At 38.5% G+C, this 20513-nt stretch overlaps 1 protein-coding gene across 8 annotated transcripts in view; it reads left to right on the forward strand.

The window, feature by feature from the left end:
• AP4E1 (adaptor related protein complex 4 subunit epsilon 1) overlaps window positions 1-20513 on the forward strand; it is a 98404-nt gene that overhangs the window by 60651 nt on the left and 17240 nt on the right. For all 8 annotated transcript variants that reach the window (XM_005254264.5, NM_001252127.2, NM_007347.5 and 5 more), the window contains 2 exons: window positions 121-235; window positions 15880-16003. In XM_005254264.5, coding sequence (XP_005254321.1) covers window positions 121-235; window positions 15880-16003 — 239 coding nt within the window. The remainder of the gene's footprint in view (window positions 1-120; window positions 236-15879; window positions 16004-20513) is intronic.

Consider the following 20513-nt stretch of genomic DNA (forward strand, 5'->3'; position numbering starts at 1 on the left):
GTTTTCATTTCTCATTTAGAATTTTAAAAAATATATATGGGCTGAAATTATTTATGTGACTATATAATCTACTTAGGATAAATTTATTTAATTCCTAATTTTTGCTTAATTTTAATATAGGTAGATGCTTCTTTATCTTTTCTGGATGGTTTTGTGGCTGAAGGACTCAGTCAGGGTGCAGCGCCTTACAAACCTCCCCATCAACGCCAGGAGGAAAAGCTTTCTCAGGAAAAAGGTAATTTTTCATGGATTTATGATAAGCTAGAGTGTAGGGATGTAATTTTTGATATTATAGTCATGTAAGTAAATAAATAAAGATATTTACTTTCTATTATTTCTCTTTAATGATTCACTTGTGATTTGTTTGCCGTGACTAGGTTTTCAGATATCCAGAGGAAAAAAAAAAGTTAGCCAAGAGATATTGCTAAAGACATAGGCTCTCTATCCACAAATACCTAAGATATGGTAGTCATACTGGAATTTATTTATTTATTTATTTTTTGAGACAAGAGTCTTGCTCTGTCACCCAGGCTGCTGTGCAGTGGCACGATCTGGGCTTACTGCAACCTCTGCCTCCCAGGCTCAAGTGGTTCTTGTGCCTCAGCCTCCCAAGTAGCTGGATTTACAGGTGGGTGCCACCACACCCAGCTAAATTTTGTATTTTTAGTAGAGATGGGGTTTCAAACTTGGCCAGGCTGGTTTCAAACTTCGGCCTCAAGTGATCTTTGACCTCCCAAAGTGCTAGGATTACAGGCGTGAGCCACTGCGACTGGCCATTATACTGAAATTTTGAGGAACTTTTTTTTTTTGATAATATATTTATTAACATAATGATCTTTATGGGAAACTTTTTTTTCTTCTTCTTTTTTTTTAATTTACACTTTTAAGTTCAGGGGTACAAGTGCAGGTTTGTTACATAGGTAAACTTGTATCATGGGAGTTTATTGTACAGCTTATTTCATCACCCAGGTATTAAGCCTAGTACCCATTAGTTTTCCTGATCCTCACCCTCCTCTCACCCTCCACCCTCTGAAAGGCCCCAGCATGTATTGTTTCCCTCTATGTGTCCATGTGTTTTCATCATTTAGCTCCCACTTTTAAGCGAGAACATGCGGTATTTGGCTTTCTGTTCCTGCATTAATTTGCTAAGGATGGCCTCCAGCTCCATCCAGGTCCCTGCAAAAGACATGATCTCATTCTTTTTTATGGCTACATGAAAGAACTTGAAGGTGGGAGTATCATGTTGTTCACTGTGCTGGTAGGTTGACACATATTAGTCTGAGCATATCTGTGGAAAAGTTTCAGAAAACAACCCTGGTTACTATGGACTAGTGAGCTTCATTTTTATTTTGAGCAGTCTTTATTTTTAAATTTTCTTAATTGACAAATAATTATACATATTCATGGGGAATATAGTGATGTTTCAATCCTTGTATAGTGTTTAGATCATAGTAATTAGCATATCCATCATCTCAAACATGTATCATTTCTTTGTGTTGGGAACATTCAATATCTTTCTTTTTTTTTTTTTTTTTAGACAGAGTCTGGCTCTGTCACCCAGGCTTGAGTGCAGTGGCGTGATCTCGGCTCACTGCAAGCTCTGCCTCCTGGGTTCATGCCATTCTCCTGCCTCAGCCTCCCGAGTAGCTGGGACTACAAGCGCCGGCCACCACGCCCAGCTAATTTTTTTGTATTTTTAGTAGAGACAGGGTTTCACCATGTTAGCCAGGATGGTCTCGATCTCCTGACCTCGTGATCTGCCCGCCTTGGCCTCCCAAAGTGCTGGGACTACCGGCGTGAGCCACCATGCCCGGCCACATTCAATATCTTTCTTCTAGTTTTTGAGACTATGTGATACTTTATTATTAAACCATAGTAATTCTATAGTGGTCTAGAACTTATTTCTTCTATCTAGCTGTAATTTTTTATCCTTTACCCTATTCTTCCCTTACCCCTACCTTTCCTAGCGCCTAGTATCCTCTATTCTAATTTTTACTTCTATGAGATCAGTTTTCTTTAGCTTCCACATATGAGAGAGAACATGTGGTGTTTAACTTTCTGTTCCTGACTTATTTCACTTAATATAATGTCCTTTGGTTTCATCCATGTTGCCATGAATGACAGGATTTCATTTGTTTTTATGGCTGAATAGTATTTCACTTTGTATATAATACCACATCATTTTCTTTATCCATTCATCTGTTGTTGGACACCTAGGCTGATTCCATATTAGATTGATTCCATATCTTGGCTACTTTGAATAGTGCTCTGCAGTAAACATTGAAGTGCTAGATAATTCGTTCAATACTGAAAGTGCAGTTTTTTGAAGCCCCCAACTATTACTGAATCAGGTTCTTTCTCCCTTTGGGTCTAATATTTGCTTTATATATTTGGATGCTCTGGTGTTGGGTACATATATATTTATAATTGTTATATTCTTTTTATGAATTGATCCCTTTATTGTACAGTGTCTTTCTTTGTCTCCTTTTACAGCTTTTAACTTAAAATCTGTTTTGTTTGTTATTAGTATAGTGACTTCTGCTTACTTTTGGTTTCTATTTGTCTGGAACGTCTTTTTCCAACCCCCCACTTTCAGTCTGTGTGTCTTTAGAGGTGAGGTGAGTTTCTTGTAGGCAGTGTATTGTTGAGTCTTGTTTTTTGAAAATCCAGGCAGTGATTCTGTATCTTTTAAGTGGGGGAATTTGATCCATTTACATTCAAGGTTATTATTGATGGGCGAGGATTTGCTGCTATCATTTTATTGATTGTTTTCTGGGTATTTTACATATGCTTTGTTCCTTACTTCCTCTCTTATTGTTTATTTTTGTAGTTGGGTGCTTTTCTTCAGTGATAAGGTTTGATTCCTTTCTTTTTCTCATTTGTGTTTCAGCACTACCAGTGAGTTTTATAGTTTTGAATGTTTTCATAATGGTAGTTATTGTCTTTTCACTTCCAGACTCCCTGGAGCATTTCATGTAAGGGTGGTCTACTGGTGATGAAGTTCTTGATTTTGGTTGTCTGTGAAAGATCTTATTTCCCCTTTATTTCTGAAGGATAGCTTTGCTGGATATGATATTCATGCTGTTTTTTCTTTTTCTTTTTTCTTTTAGTACTTTGAATATATCATCCCATTTTCTCCTGGCCTCTAAGGTTTCTGCTGAGAAATCCAGCTGTTAGCCTAATGGGGATTCCCTTATATGTGACTTGATGCTTTTCTCTTGCTGCTTTCAAAATTCTTTGTCTTTGACTTTTGACAGTTTGACTAAAATGTGCCACAAAAAGGACCTGCTTGGGGTTGAATCTGTTTGGGGTTCTTTGAGCTTCCTGGACTAGGATGTTCTGTCTTCCAAGACTTGGAAAGTTTCCTGCTATTATTTCATTAATTATTTTCTTCATATCTTCCCTTCTCTTCTCCTTCTGAAATGCCCATAATACAAACATTTATTTGCTTAATGGTGTCCCACAAATCCTGTAGGCTTTCTTCATTTTTTTAAAAATTATTTTTTCTTTTTTTTTGTCTTCCTGTGTTATTTCAAAAGACCTGTCTTCAACTTTAGAAATTATTTCTTCTGCTTTCTAATGTGTTGTTGAAGCTCTTATGTGTATATTTTATTTCATTTATTGAATTCTTCAGCTCTAGGATTTCTGTTTGGTTCTTTTTTATGATATCTGTTTCTTTGTTGAATTTCTTGTTCAAATAATGTATCATTTTCCTGATTTCATTGAATTGTCTGTCTGTATTCTCTTGTATCTCACTGAGTTTCCTTAATATTGTTATTTTGAATTCCTTTTCTGGAATTTCATACATTTCCTTATGATTAGGGGTCTGTTACTAGAAATTTATTATTTTCCTTTGGTAGTGACATGTTTCTTTTTTCATGGTTGATTTGTTCCTATGTTGATTTGTATGAATCTGGTGGAAAAGTTGGCTCTTTCAATTTTATGTAGTGCAGTTTAAAGGGAAAGACTTATTTGTATAAATGGGTCTTATTTGTATAAATGTTCAGTAGGGTACTAAGGCCTTGGTGGTGGACGTGTAGTATAGTCTTCATGTAGTTTCTTTCTTTCTTTCTTTCTTTTTTCTTTTGAGAAGGAGTCTCGCTCTGTCATCCAGGCTGGAGTGCGGTGGCATGATCTTGGCTCACTGCAACCTCTGTCTCCCAGGTTCAAGCAATTCTCCCATCTCAGCCTCCCAAGTAGCTGGGACTACAGGCACACACCACCACGCCTGGCTAATTTTTGTATTTTTAGTAGAGACGGGGTTTCACCATGTTGGTCAGGCTGGTCTCAAACTCCTGACCTCAGGTGATCCACCCACCTCAGCCTCCCAAAGTGCTGGGATTACAAGTGTGAGCCACAGTACCTGGCCATGTAGTTTCTTTAGCTGTAATCTACACTAGTGGTATTTGTGAGTTTCTCAGTGGCCCAGGCTGAGTTTGTGGTGATGGTGGTGTGGCTTCACCAAGGGTGGGTTTCCCAGCCTGTTTTCAAGTTTTGGATATGTGCATGTACACAGTGAGTCAGCCAACTTGGGTTCTGGCTTACTGAGGTTGGGGCCATGGAGCTGTTACTCTGGCTGGGAAGCATGGGCATGTAGTTGCCTAGCCAGCCTGAGGACATGTCTGCCAAGAGTAGCCTATGGGGCTGTTTCTTAGGCTCATGATGTGGGTGCAAGGCTGTTTGGCTGGCCTTGGGGATGGGGGGCATGTCTTCTGAGGGTAGCCCTATGGGGATGTTTCTCTCACACAGGACACAGCCACATGGCTCTGAGCAGTCTAATATTTCTCAAGTGTATTAGAATTCTTCGTTCAACAAAATATCTGATGATTTAAGTTAGAAACAGCTAATAAAGGAAAGAGTAACTTTGTACTTAAGAAATGCAGCCTGTTGGGAAAATACGTCTGTCATGATTTTGGTAAAGGGGAAATCATTGAGTTATTTGGATGGTAGAAGGGAAGTATGCATATGAATAAAGGGAGATCAGTGAATAAATATATTATCTGTTTATGAGTTCAGAATGTCAATACTGAAAAATTCAGTGCTGAAAGGTTTTTCTTTTTTTTCCTATTTGTCCTTTAATGATTTTGTTGAGTACTTATTTTCCAGGCTGTGTGCTAGGCATATTGAGTTAAGACAACAACTAAACTGTTGATCCTAGAATGAGACCAAAAAGTTATGAACATTATTAATAGGCCTGATGTTCTCTTTTTCCAGAAGCATTTGCTCTTTTTTGCCTTTTATCTTTTTAAATCTTTTTATTATTTTATTTTATTGTGGTTAAGAACCTTAACTGGAGGTCTCTCCTCTTAACAAATTTTTAAGTGTATAATACGTTATGATTGACTGTAGATACAATGTTGTACAGCAGATCTCTAGCACTTATTCATCTTGTTTAACTAAAACTTCATGCCCATTGATTGGTAAGTCCCCATTTCTCTCTCCCCTTAGCCTCTGGCAGCAACCAGTCCATTCCTCAATCCTATGAATTTGACCTTTTAGGTACCTCATAAAAGTGGACCCATGCAATATTTTTTTGTGCCTTACTTATTTCACTTAGCATAATATTCTTAAGTTTCATCTATGTTGTCGTATATTGCAGAATTTTCTTCGTTTTCAAAGTTTAATAGTATTCCATTGTATATGTATATGACATCATCTTTATCCATTCACCTACTGATGAACATTTAAGTTGTTTTCACGTCTTGGTTATTATGAATAGTGCTGCAGTGAACATGGGAATGCTAATATCTCTTTTGGATCCTGATTTCAATTATTTGGGATAAATACCCACCCGGAAGTGAGATTGTTGGAGCATATAGTAGTTGTATTTTTATTTATTTAGAGACAGAATCTTGCTCTGTCGCCTAGGCTGGAGTGCAGTGGTACGATCTCAGCTCACTGCAACCTCTGCCTCCTGGGTTCAAGTGATTCTCCTGCCTCAGCCTCCTGGGTAGCTGGGACTACAAGCATGAGTCACCACACCTGGCTAATTGTTGTATTTTTAGTAGAGACAGGGTTTTGCCATGTTGGCCAGGCTGGTCTCAAACTCCTGACTTCAAGTGATCCACCTGTCTTGGCTTCCCAAAGTGCTGGGATTACAGGTATGAGCCACTGTGCCCGGCCATTTTTTTTTTTTTTTTTTGAGACAGTGTCTCATTCTGTCACCTAGGCTGGAGTGCAGTAGAACGATCATAGTTCACTGTAGCCTTGAACTCCTGGGCTCAAGTGATCCTACTGCCTCAGCTTCCTGAGTATCTAGGATTCCAGGTGCATGCCATCATGCCTGGTTCATTTTTAATTTTTTGTAGAGACAGAGTCTCCCTAATGTTGCCCAGACTGGTCTCAAACTCTTGAGCTCAAGTGATCCTCCTACCTTGACGTTGCAAAGCACTGGGATTATAGGCATGAGCCACTGTGTACTGCCTGTATTTTTATTTTTTTGAGGAACCTCCATACTGCTTTCCACAGTGGTTGCACCATTTTGCATTCCCATCAACAATGGGTAAGGGTTCTGACTTCTTCACATCCTTCCTGACACGTTATGTTTTCTTTTCTTTGATAATCACCATCCTGACTGGTACAAGGTGATGCCTTATTATGGTTTCAGTTTGTATTTTCTTGCTAATAGTAACCTTGAGCATTTTTTCATATACCTGTTGGCCATGTGTATGTCTTCTTTAGAGAAATGTTTATTTAAGTTATTGGCCTATTTGTGATCAGGTTATTAGTTAAAAAAAAAAAACTATTGAGTCATAGGATTAACATATTTTGGAGGTTAACCCTTACCAGAAATGTGGTTTGCAAATATTTTCTCCTATTCCATAGGTTGCCTTTTCACTCTGTTGAGTGTTTTCTTTGCTATGCAGAAGCTTTTTAATTTGATGTATTGCCACTTGTTTATTTTTGTTATTATTACCTGTATTTTTGGTGTCATATCCATGAAATTATTGTAAAGACCAATGTCATAAAGCAGCTTTTACCAGCTGGGCGCGGTGGCTCACACCTGTAATCCCAGTACTTTAGGAGGCTGAGGTGGGTGGACCACCTGAGGTCGGGAGTTCGAGACCAGCCAGACCAACATGGAGATACCTCATCTCTACTGAAAATACAAAATTAGCCAGGCGTGGTGGTGCATGCTTGTAATGCCAGCTACTTGAGAGGCTGAGGCAGGAGAATCACTTGAACCCGGGAGGTGGAGGTTGCAGTGAGCTGAGATTGTACCATTGCACTCCAGCCTGAGCAACAAGAGCAAAACTTCATCTCTTTCTATGAGTTTTACAGTTTTGGGTCTTACAGTTAAGTCCTTAGTTCATTTTGAGTTGATTTTTATGTATGGTATAAGATAAAGCTTCCATTTTATTCTTTTGCATGTGAATATTTGGTTTTCCCAATGTTGTTTGTTGAGAAGACTGTCCTTTCTCTGTTGTGTATTCTTGGTGTCCTTGTTCAATATTAGTTGACTATACATGCTTGGATTTATTTCTGGGCTCTCTGTTCTGTCTCTATGTCTGTCTTTATGCCAGTACTATGCTGTTTTGATTATTGTAGATTTGTAATATATTTTGAAATCAGTAAGTGTGATGCCTTCAGCTTTGCTCTTTTTTCTCAAGATTAATTTGGGTATTCATGGTCTTTTGTGGTTCTTCATTGGTGAATTCTACCAAACACTTAATGAATTAATATTGGGGCTGGGCACAGTGGCTCATGCCTGTAGTCCTAGCAATTTGGGAGGCCATGGTGGGAGGATCACTTGAAGCCAGGAGTTTGATACCAGCCTAGACAATATAGCTTGACCCCATCTCTACAAAAGGGACAGAGAGAGAGAGAGAGAGAGAGAGAAAGAGAGAGAGAGTTCTTTTCAACCTCTTCCAAAAATTTAAAGAGGAGAGAACATTTCTAAACTTATTTTATGAGACCAGCCTTACCCTGATAGCAAAGCCAGACAGAGCCACCACAAAAAAAAGAAAACTACAGGCCAATATCCCTGATGAATATAGGCAAAATACTAGGAAACTGAACTCAATAAAAGGATCATACACCATGATCAAGTGGGATTTATCCTAGGGATCCAAGGATGGTTCAACATCTGAAAATAAATTAATGTGATATCATGTTAACAGAATAAAGGATAAAAACCACACAGTTCTCAATAAAAGCAGAAAAAGTGTTTGACAAAATTGAATACCCTTTCATGATTAAAAAGAAACTCAATAAAACTAAGAATAGAAGGCAATATCTCAATATAATAAAGACCATATATGATAAACCCAGAGCTAACATCATAGCATGGTATGATGAAAAACCAAAAGCTTTTCCTCTGAGATCAGGAGCAAAGCAAGGATGCCCACTTGTCTCTTTTGTAGTCAACACAGTACTGGAAGTATTAGCCAGAGCAGTTAAGAAAAAGAAGAGAGGTATTCAGATTGGAAAGGAAAATTGTTCCTCTTTGCAGATAATATGGTTTTATTTATAGAAAACCCTAAATTAGACTCCATTAAAAAACCGTTAGAAGTAATAAGCGAATTCTGGAAAGTTGTAGGATGCAAAGTCAACATGCAAAAATTATTTGCATTTTTGTACACTAACAACAAACCATGTGACAAGGTTATTAGGAAGACAGCCCAATTTATGATAGCACCAAAAGGAACAAAATACCTAATAATAAACTGAAGCAAGTGAGAAAGTTGTGTTTAATGAAAACCACTGAACGTTAATGAAAGAAATCAAACAAGGCACAAATAAATGGAAATACATCCTGTGTTCATGGATTGGAAAGTACATGTATTCTGTGCAATCCCTTTCTTTTAAGGCTTTTTATATGTTATTTAGCACAGTGATAACTAATGTACTATAAAATTTAAACTCTCTTTCAAAGTGTAATCAGTTTCCTCTCATTAACTTTTTATATATTAATAGAATATATTGGGGGAAAAAGTAAACTTTTGAATTATAATTGCCTAACCTGTGGTTATACTGCATATAAATGCCTTATGACATCCAGGGCCTAGAGTGAAAAGCTCCTGGGTTTCCACAGTGGGAGGTATGATTCCGTTGTCATACTTCCTTATTTTCAGGTATCTGGGGGCCACCAGTTGCCATTACTGAAGTCAAGGGTTGGATAGGGAAGGGGAGATATAATAGGGAGACTATTTCCTGGCACTGCCTATTTTGTTTCTTAAAATAAGCTAAATAGCTGACACAAATACAAGAGCCCTGGAATTCCCCAAGCTTATGCAGTCCTTTGCCAAGTACATTTTTTCCCATAGAACCACATTATAAATGGGATTAAACGCTCAAACTAGATTCTCCCTCTCTCCTCCCAAATCTGTGTGCTTCAAAAGTCCTTTAAAGCAAAACTGAAATTTCAGGAGACTGTTATAGAAAAGGAAATTGGTTATGAGACAAGATATAGCAAGTATTTAATAAATACTTGTGGAATAAATTATAAAATTATATATCTTAGAAATGGGGTTGGCTATAAGACAAAATAAAGAGTAGGGGGAAATAGGTATTTTATGCATAAAGAATTAATTCTTGAATCTTTTAATTATCAATCTGTTATGGTTTTTTTTTTTTTTTTTTTTAGACAGAGTCTCTCTCTGTTGTCCAGGCTGGAGTGCAGTGTTGCAATCTTTTGGCTCACTGCAACCTCCACTTCTCGGGTTCAAGCGATTCTTGTGCCTCAACTTCCTAAGTAGCTAGGACAACTGGTGCATGCCACCACATCCAGCTAATTTTTGTATTTTTAGTAGCGATGACGTTTCACCTGTTGCCCAGGCTGGTCTCAAATTCCTGACCTCAAGTGATCCTCCCTCTTCTGCCTCCAAAAATTCTGGGATTACAGGCACAAGCCACCATGCCAGCCTGTTCTGGTACTAATCTGATTTCAGATTTCTGTAATCATTTGCAGAGAGTAGTAGTTAAATGTTACTTTAATAAGTGATACTTTGATCTTTTAGGTAGAAAAATGAATAAACTTCAGGAAAATATCATGGGATACTAAGAATTAGCAAAAATAGGTGAGATGGTGGGGAACAAACTTTCTTACAAGTTCCCATCAAAAAAAGCATTTCAGAATCTGTGGATTATTCTATTAAAATATTAATAAAATGTGTTATAACTCCAACACTAGATAACCAGAAATAATAAGGGGAAACAGTATTTACTAAATCTGGCTTTTAGAAAGCCATGTCAAGGTAAGGTTGCTAGTCTCTCAAAAAATAAAATAACAATAATCAGATAATTAAAGTTAATTATTTAAATAATTGTAAAAATTATTAATAATAGCTGAGAATGGTTAGAGAAATATAGCCAAGTCGTCAAGGTATAAATAATTGCAGTACAAAGTATGATAAATGAGTGTGCATATAATTGAGGCCTCTAAAGTATTAATAATAAGGGATACAAATAGGTTGAATGTTGAATTATTCACTTATGCCCAGGATAGTTTATACTTTATTATGTCTCACCTAGAATACTTCAGCGGCTCCCAACTCGAAGGACTCTCTGCCTCCAGCTTATGTTTTCTCTTCTGGTGAATTGCCCTCATTCTTCATCTGGCTAAATTCTGCATATTCACTGAGTTGCAAGTCAGCCGTCTTCTTCCTTCTCTTGGTTCTTTCTGCATACCATTTTTCTCCTTCTGTTCCACATATGTGCATGAGCTCTTGCACATGTAGTTAACTCTCCAGCATCTTTAGTCCTTTTAGGCGTTCATCACTATATGGGTCTTGGGGAGTTTTCACTGAAGAGTGAAAATAATGTGGTTTGAACTTTATTCTCAACCTTGAGCCTTTCCACCCCTTCCTTAGATGATAATCTTAATTCTTTTGACTTGGAATTGATACTTTTTTCTGCTTGCTGTCCAAATACTGTTCCTTTCCATGTCTGTTTTATTCTCTCTACTTTCAAACTTTGTACCTCTAATTTTGAGCTTCTTTCTGCTTTTTGGTTTAAACTCTTTATCTTTAATGTGCATAGAAAACATTTCTTGAGGTATTCACTGTTACTGGAAGTGTTAATGCAGTGGCTGGATGACTCACTGTCACAGATGCTATTAAAAAGATACCACTGTTGGATGGTAAGTGCAATGGTTTGAATATGTTTGTCAAAACCCGTATTTAAATTTAATTGTCATTGTGATGGTATTCAGAGATTGGACTGTAAAAAGCTGATCAGGCCATGAGGAATCTGCCTTCATGAATTGATTAATGTCATTATCATGAGAGTGGGTTGTTACAAGAGTGAGTTTGGCCCTCTCTTGCTCTCATACTCTCTTGCCCTTCTGTCTTCTTCATGATGTAGCATGAAGGCCCTTGCCAAATGCTGATGCCATGCTCTTAGATAGCTCAGCCTTGAGAACAATGAGCCAAATAAATTTCTTTTTCTTTTCTTTTTTTTGAGGCGGAGTTTCACTCTGTCACCCAGGCTAGAGTGCAGTGGCATGATCTCGACTCACTGCAACCTCCACATCCCAGGTTCAAGCAATTCTCCTGTCTCAGCCTCCCGAGTAGCTGGGATTACAGGCGTCCACCACCATGTCTGGCTAATTTTTGTATTTTTAGTAGAGGCAGGGTTTCACCACAGTGGCCAGGCTGGTCTTGAACTCCTGACCTCAAATGATCTGCCCACCTTGACCTCCCAAAGTGCTGGAATTACCACCCGGCCATAAATTTCTGTTCATTATAAATTACCTGTTCTGTGGTATTCTGTTATAGCAACATAAAATGGACTATGATAGAAAATTGGTCCTGAGAAGTGAAGCTGTTGCTATTAAAAATATCTGAAAATGTGGAAATGGCTTTGAAACTGGGTAATGAGTAGAGCAGAAGAATTTAAAGAAGCAGGCTAGGAAAATCTTAGATTGCCGTAAACATAATATTAAGGGCAGTTCTGATGAGGGCTGAGAAGAAGAGAGGAGAGCTATAGGGAAAATCTGAAAGTTAGAGATTATTAAGTGTTCATGATCAGAAAGTTGTTAGAAATATGGGCTTCACTGTCTCTTTATCTCTAAGTTACTTAAGTGTACTTAATCTCTAAGTTCATTAAATGTATGAGATCCCAGACAGGAAAGAGGAATATATCTTGTTGGAAACTGGAGTAAGGCCATCTTTCTTATAAAGTGGCAAAAATCTTGGATGATTTATGTCTCTTCATGCCTGAGGGCTTTATGGAAGACAGAATTTAAGAGCGATGAACTAGAATATCTGGTGGAAGAAATTTCTGTGCAAAATATTGAAGGAGCTGTATGGCTACTTTTAAGTGCATGCAGTAAGATATGAGAGGAAATAAATGACTTAAAGATGGAATTTATAATTAAACAGAAGCATGACAGACGGAAAATTTTCAGCCTGGCCATGTGAAGAATGAGAAAATGTATTTGGGAGACCAGGCCAAGGATCTGGTCAAGTGACTGTCTGCTAAGGCGGTTATTACAGATAGAAATGATCATCAAGACATTGGGAGAGTGACACTAAAGGCATTTCAGAGATCTCAGAGGCTGCCCTTCTCTTCACAGGCTCGAGCTCTGGGAGTGCAGAATGTTTTCAGGGGATGACCAGCGTACCCTTCATGGGCTTGCTGCCCAGAGCTGCCTCAAGTCTCTGCTCCCTGTGTTCTGGTACAGCATTCTGTGGTTGCTCCAGCCATTCATTGGGCCCAGGTGTGGCTTGACCTGCTACTCCAGAAGATTCAAGCCATAAACCTTGGTGGCATATGTGGTGCTAATTCTGTAGGTGCACAGTGTGCAAGAGCCATGGGGTCATGGCGTCCTCCACCTAGATTTCAGAAGATGTCGTGGACTCCCTGGGGCTTAGGCAGAGACTTTTCACGGGTGTGGAGCCATCACAGAAAGCCCCTACTAGGGCAATGCTGAGCAGAAATACAGGATCAGAGGCATCACAGAGAGTCCCCACCAGGGCAGTGCCTAGTGGAGCCTTGGGAGTGGGGTCACTCCTGAGACCCCAGAACTGATGCTACTAGCTTGCAGCATCAGCCTGGGAAAGTTGCAGGCATGAGACTCCAATCCCCTGAGAGCTGCTGGGTGGACTGAGCCCCAAAGCCATAGGACTTTGTCATAGATGTGGGGCTGCCTAAGGCCTTGAGTGTCCAACTCCTGCCCCAGTGTTCCCAAAAGGTGGGACGTGGAGTCAAGATAGATAATTCTGGAGCATTAAGACTTAATGTTGATTTCTCTGTTGGGCTTTGGACTTATTTGAGACCACTTACCCCTTTCTTCTGGCCTATTCCTCCCTTTTGGAATGGGAATATCTACTTTATGCCTGCTCCACTATTGTATTTTGGAAGCACATAACTTGTTAATTTCACAGCCCCACAGCTGGAGAGAAATTTGCTTTTAGTCTCACCCATATCTGATTTAGATGTCTCTGGATTTTGGAGTTAATGCTGGAATGAGTTAAGGCTTTTGAGACTTGTAATGGAATGAATATATTTTGCATCATAAGGACATGATTTTGTTGGGGCAGGAGCAGAATGCTATGGTGTGAATGTGTACTCCAAAGTTCATGTGTTGGAAACAATCCCCAGTGAAACAGTGTTGGGAGGTGAGACCTAATAAGAGGTGATTAGGTCACGAGGGCTCTGCCCTCACAAATGAATTTATATCATTATCATGGGAGTGGGTCATTAAAAAAGCAAGTTCGGGCCAGATGCAGTGGCTTACACCTGTAATCCCAGCACTTTGGGAGCCTGAAGCAGGTGGATCACCTGAGGTTGAGGGTTCGAGACCAGCCTGACCAACATGGAGAAACCACGTCTCTACTAAAAATACGAAATTAGCCGGGCATGCTGGCACATGCCTGTAATCCCAGCTACTCAGGAGACTGAGGCAGGAGAATCGCTTGAACACGGGAGGCGGAGGTTGTGGGGAGCTGAGATCATGCCATTGCACACCAGCTTGGGCAATAAGAGCAAAACTCCCATCTCAAAAAAAAAAAAAAAAAAAAAAAGCAAGTTCAGCCCTCTCTTGCTCTTGCACTATCTTCCCTTCTGCTTTCCTTTCACCATGGGATGATGCAGCATGAAGGCCCTCACCAGATGCCAGTGCCATGCTCTTGGACTTCTCAGTTTCTGGAACTATAAGCCAAGTAAATTTCTGTTCATTATAAATCACCTGTTATGTTGCATTGTCTTATAGCAACATAAAACGGACTATGATTAAGTTAGATGATTAAAAAACTTAAAATGAGGGGATATTCTAGTTGGAAAGGACCTTCAAAAGATTTAGATAAGTGGTTTCCAAACATGGTTATGAATCAGAATCACAAAGAGTTTTTTAAAAATGAGACTTATTTTGAGCCCTACTCCTATTCCTTCTATATCTGAATCTCTGTAAGCTTGGCTGTATGTATAAAAAGGTCCTTGGGAGATTCAGTGAAGTAAGCTTGATCCTTGTTATCAGATCAGCATTTGGAAACTGTTGACGTAGTTTGAATTCTTCACTTTACAGATGAAGAAATGAAGATCTAGTTCACATACCTAGTTAACAGCAAAGCTATGTCCAGAACACAGTTCTCCTGATCATTAGCCCATCATTATTATTTTTTTACATTGATTCTTCTTCTGTATCATTTATTTAGGTAACTAGCAAGCATTTATTTAGCATTCTTTGGAATAGGTGATATTTCCTTTGGAGGAGGCCATATACTATAATAGTTGAGAGTACAGCTCTGGTGCTAGAATATCTGAGTTCATGTCTGGCTTTGTCATTTTCTAATTTTTGTAATTTGGGACAAACTCTTTACCACAGTTTCCTCATTTGTAAAATGAGAATAGTAATTACAGAAGTTGACATAATATTTTCTAAGATACTTTTTATGATTTAAAAAGGTCCTTTTCTATAATCTAGACTGTTCAAAATTTGTCAGTTAAGATTAGGCTTGCTGAATTAGCCAATTAAAAAATAAAGAAACAAAGTGGGACCTCATACAAGATAGACGGTTATTGCTTTCTCCTATTAAAGGAATCCAGAAGTAGGCAATGTAGGGTTGATGATGGCTTCATGATTATTAAAAAACCCAAGTTTCACCTTTCTTGCTGTTCTGGCATCTTTGGTGTTCCACTTTATGATCCAAGATGGCTGCTTATGCCCCAGCAATCATGTTGCAGTCTAGCCAGCAGGGAAGAGAAAGGGGGAGAAGAAAGATTGTCTTTTATTCCAAGAGGACTCCTTCCAGAAGTTGCAAACAAAATATGTGTATAATTTCATAGGCTAGACCTCAGTCATATGACAAAGGTGTTTGTAAATGTCTCTGGGTGGTCATGATCTAGATAAGAATTGAGGGGTTTATTACATAGAAAGAAAGGGAGAGTGGATATTGGCATCTGTCCTACCACAGTAACAACATGAATTTTCTTGGCTCTTATTGAATTAATTAGGTTATACAGATTAAAAGGAATCAGAATCTGTGTTAACCTTAGGGAGATTTTACGTTGAGGACTCTATCAATCCATTTGGTACGAGAATGTACCCAGGAGCAGTTTGTTCAGCAAAACATGGTCACCTCTTCATTATAACTCATTAAACATTTTTGCATGGGAGCAGCGACTTTTCAGTAGACTTGGTTTATCAGTTATCTTTCCTAATTGAGTTTTTTTTTAGCTTCCAAGGGAGGTAAAAAGGTAAAAATAAAGGATAGTTGGTCTTTAATCACCTAGTAATATGAAGACTTACAGTAGACATTTACCAAATGGTAGTTGATTTATTACTGTAAGTATTTGATTAGATCATCCTCAAAGTCCTTTAGAGTTTAAAAATGGCTATTAGTTCCAGGCTTGAATTATTGTGGTAGTGAATGGTAACTTTGACAGTTTTTTGCTTTGTTTTAAATATGAACCTCTGTTATTATTTTAAAATTCTAGTTCTCAATTTTGAACCATATGGACTCTCCTTTTCTTCATCTGGCTTCACTGGACGACAGTCTCCTGCTGGCATTTCTCTTGGTTCAGATGTATCTGGGAATAGTGCTGAGACAGGACTGAAAGAGTAAGTTCATTTCTTATTAAAATTGAGGTTATGGGAGTGCTTAAATGTCTTTTAGCGTTCCATTTGCCTTCTGCTCCTGCCTCATATCATCATGGTCATTATTTGCTTATTTTAGGATAACTTTCAAGAGGTCTATTGTTTCAGTGGTTTTCACATAATTTTCTTTTTTTTTAATTATACTTTAAGTTCTAGGGTACAGGTTCACAACGTGCAGGTTTGTTACATATGTATACATGTGTGCCATGTTGGTGTGCTGCACCCATTAACTCGTCATTTACATTAGGTATATCTCCTAATACTATCCCTTCCCCCTCCCCCCACCCCACAACAGGCCCTGGTGTGTGATGTTCCCCTTCCTGTGTCCAAGTGTTCTCAATGTTCAATTCCCACCTATGAGTGAGAACATGCAGTGTTTGGTTTTTTGTCCTTGCGATAGTTTGCTGAGAATGATGGTTTCCAGCTTCATCCGTGTCCCTACAAAGGACATGAACTCATCCTTTTTTATGGCTGCATAGTATTCCATGGTGTATATGTGCCACATTTTCTTAATCCAGTCTATCATTGATGGACATTTGGGTTGGTTCCAAGTCTTTGCTATTGTGAATAGTGCCGCAGTAAACATACGTGTGCATGTGTCTTTATAGCAGCATGATTTATACTCCTTTGGGTATATACCCAGTAATGGGATTGCTGGGTCAAATGGTATTTCTAGTTCTAGATCCTTGAGGAATCACCACACTGTCTTCCACAATGGTTGAACTAGTTTACAGTCCCACCAACAGTGTAAAAGTGTTCCTATTTCTCCACATCCTCTCCAGCACCTGTTGTTTCCTGACTTTTTAATGATCACCATTCTAACTGGTGTGAGATGGTATCTCATTGTGGTTTTGATTTGCATTCCTCTGATAGCCAGTGATGACGAGCATTTTTTCATGTGTGTTTTGGCTGCATAAATGTCTTCTTTTGAGAAGTGTCTGTTCATATCCTTCACCCACTTTTTGATGGGGTTGTTTGTTTTTTTTCTTGTAAATTTGTTTGAGTTCTTTGTAGATTCTGGATATTAGCCCTTTGTCAGATGAGTAGATTGCAAAAATTTTTTCCCATTCTGTAGGTTGCCTGTTCACTCTGATGTTAGTTTCTTTTGCTGTGCAGAAGCTCTTTCGTTTAATTAGATCCCATTTGTCAATTTTGGCTTTTGTTGCCATTGCTTTTGGTGTTTTAGACATGAAGTCTTTGCCCATGCCTACGTCCTGAATGGTATTGCCTAGGTTTTCTTCTAGGATTTTTATGGTTTTAGGTCTAACATTTAAGTCTTTAATCCCATCTTGAATTAATTTTTGTATAAGGTGTAAGGAAGGGATCCAGTTTCAGCTTTCTACATGTGGCTAGCCAGTTTTCCCAGCACCATTTATTAAATAGGGAATCCTTTCCCCATTTCTTGTTTTTGTCAGGTTTGTCAAAGATCAGATGGTTGTAGATGTGTGGTATTATTTCTGAGGGCTCTGTTCTGTTCCATTGGTCTATATCTCTGTTTTGGTACCAGTACCATGCTGTTTTGGTTACTGTAGTCTTGTAGTGTAGCTTGAAGTCAGGTAGAGTGATGCCTCCAGCTTTGTTCTTTTGGCTTAGGATTGACTTGGCAATGCGGGCTCTTTTTTGATTCCATATGAACTTTAAAGTAGTTTTTTCCAATTCTGTGAAGACAGTCATTGGTAGCTTGATGGGGATGGCATTGAATCTATAAATTACCTTGGGCAATATGGCCATTTTCACAATATTGATTCTTCCTACCCATGAGCATGGAATGTTCTTCCATTTGTTTGTATCCTCATTTATTTCTTTGAGCAGTGGTTTGTAGTTCTGCTTGAAGAGGTCCTTCACATTGCTTGTAAGTTGGATTCCTAGGTATTTTATTCTCTTTGAAGCAATTGTGAATGGGAGTTCACTCATGATTTGGCTCTCTGTCTGTTATTGGTGTATAAGAATGCTTGTGATTTTTGCACATTGATTTTGTATCCTGAGACTTTGCTGAAGTTGCTTATCAGCTTAAGGAGATTTTGGGCTGAGACTGTGGGGTTTTCTAGATATACAATCATGTCATCTGCAAACAGGGACAATTTGACTTCCTCTTTTCCTGATTGAATACCTTTTATTTCTTTCTCCTGCCTGATTGCCCTGGCCAGAACTTCCAACACTGTGTTGAATAGGAGTGGTGAGAGAGGGCATCCCTGTCTTGTGCCACTTTTCAAAGGGAATGCTTCCAGTTTTTGCCCATTCAGTATGATATTGGCTGTGGGTTTGTCATAAATAGCTCTTATTATTTTGAGATACGTCCCATCAATACCTAATTTATTGAGAGTTTTTAGCATGAAGCGCTGTTGAATTTTGTCAAAGGCCTTTTCTGCATCTATTGAGATAATCATGTGGTTTTTGTCTTTGGTTCTGTTTATATGCTGGATTACGTTTATTGATTTGTGTATATTGAACCAGCCTTGCATCCCAGGGATGAAGCCCACTTGATCATGGTGGATAATCTTTTTGATGTGCTGCTGGATTTGGTTTGCCAGTATTTTATTGAGGATTTTTGCATCGATGTTCATCAGGGATATTGGTCTAAAATTCTCTTTTTTGGTTGTGTCTCTGCTAGGCTTTGGTATCAGGATGATGCTGGCCTCATAAAATGAGTTAGGGAGGATTCCCTCTTTTTCTATTGATTGGAATAGTTTCAGAAGGAATGGTACTAGCTCCTCCTTGTACCTCTGGTAGAATTCAGCTGTGAATCCGTCTGGTCCTGGACTTTTTTTGGTTGGTAAGCTATTAATTATTGCCTCAATTTCAGAGCCTGTTATTGGTCTACTCAGAGATTCAACTTCTTCCTGGTTTAGCCTTGGGAGGCTGTATGTGTCCAGGAATTTATCCATTTCTTCTAGATTTTCTAGTTTATTTGCGTAGAGGTGTTTATAGTATTCTCTGATGATAGTTTGTATTTCTGTGGGATCGGTGGTGATATCCCCTTTATCATTTTTTATTGCATCTATTTGATTCTTCTCTTTTTTTATTAGTCTTGCTAGCGGTCTATCAATTTTGTTGATCTTTTCAAAAAACCAGCTCCTGGATTCACTGATTTTTTGAAGGGTTTTTTGTGTCTCTATTTCCTTCAGCTCTGCTCTGATCTTAGTTATTTCTTGCCTTCTGCCAGCTTTTGAATGTGTTTGCTCTTGCTTCTCTAGTTCTTTTAATTGTGATGTTAGGGTGTCAATTTTAGATCTTTCCTGCTTTCTCTTGTGGGCATTTAGTGCTATAAATTTCCCTCTACACACTACTTTAAATGTGTCCCAGAGATTCTGGTATGTTGTGTCTTTGTTCTTATTGGTTTCAAAGAACATCTTTATTTCTGCCTTCATTTCGTTATGTACCCAGTAGTCATTCAGGAGCAGATTGTTCAGTTTCCATGTAGTTGAGCGGTTTTGAGTGAGTTTCTTAATCCTGAGTTCTAGTTTGATTGCACTGTGATCTGAGAGACAGTTTGTTATAATTTCTGTTTTTACATTTGCTGAGGAGTGCTTTACTTCCAACTAGGTTTTCACATAATTTTCAAAGGGAGAGACACACTTGTGACAATGTGTTTTAATATAATGGTTTAGAAAGGTTTTTAAAAGCTAAATTGTATGGGCTGTTGTTTCAGTGGTTTCTATTTATTGCTCTTAAGGTATTTATATTGTACAGTATGTTCTTTAAGAGCTTATCTACCTTCCAAGACAGCATAAAATATGTACAAGCTTTATACGTAGTAATAATATGTGTTATTGCTACATATTATATATATATATTTAGAAGCATATTAGAATTTATACATCCAGGCTGATGTTTAACATATCATTCTACATTCCTCATTCTTCTGATAAATATATCTTGTAACCGTCTCATTGGAACATTGATAGATATAGAGGTGAACATAAAATAAGGTGATTGATTTCACCTGAGGAAGCCATATAGTTGGTCACCCAGTGAAGGCCAGATGCCCCTAAACTTATGATGGGGTTACATTCTGATAAACCCATTATAAATTGAAAATATCGTAAGTCAGAAGTGATCTACCAAACAGCAGATGTATGTCTAGAACTCAGTTCTGCTGATCATTGGCCCATTATTGTTTATTATTTTATTTTATTGTTATTATTTTTTTGAGACACAATTTCACTCTTATTGCCTAGGCTGGAGTGCAGTGGCATGATCTCGATTCACTGCAACCTCTGCCTTCTGGGCTCAGGCAATTCTCCTGCCTCAGCCTTCCGAGTAGCTGGGATTACAGGCTCCTGCCACCATACCCGGCTAATTTTTTGTATTTTTAGTAGAGATGGGTTTCACCATGTTGGCCAGGCTGGTCTCAAACTACTGGCCTCAAGTGCTCCACCCACCTCGGCCTCCCAAAGTGCTGGGATTACAAGTATGAGCCACCGTGCCCAGCCTATTTATTATTGTATTAGCTCATTATTATCTCTGCATTGCA

This window comes from Homo sapiens, chromosome 15, assembly GCF_000001405.40.
Source record: "Homo sapiens chromosome 15, GRCh38.p14 Primary Assembly".
Taxonomy (NCBI): Eukaryota; Metazoa; Chordata; class Mammalia; order Primates; family Hominidae; genus Homo; species Homo sapiens.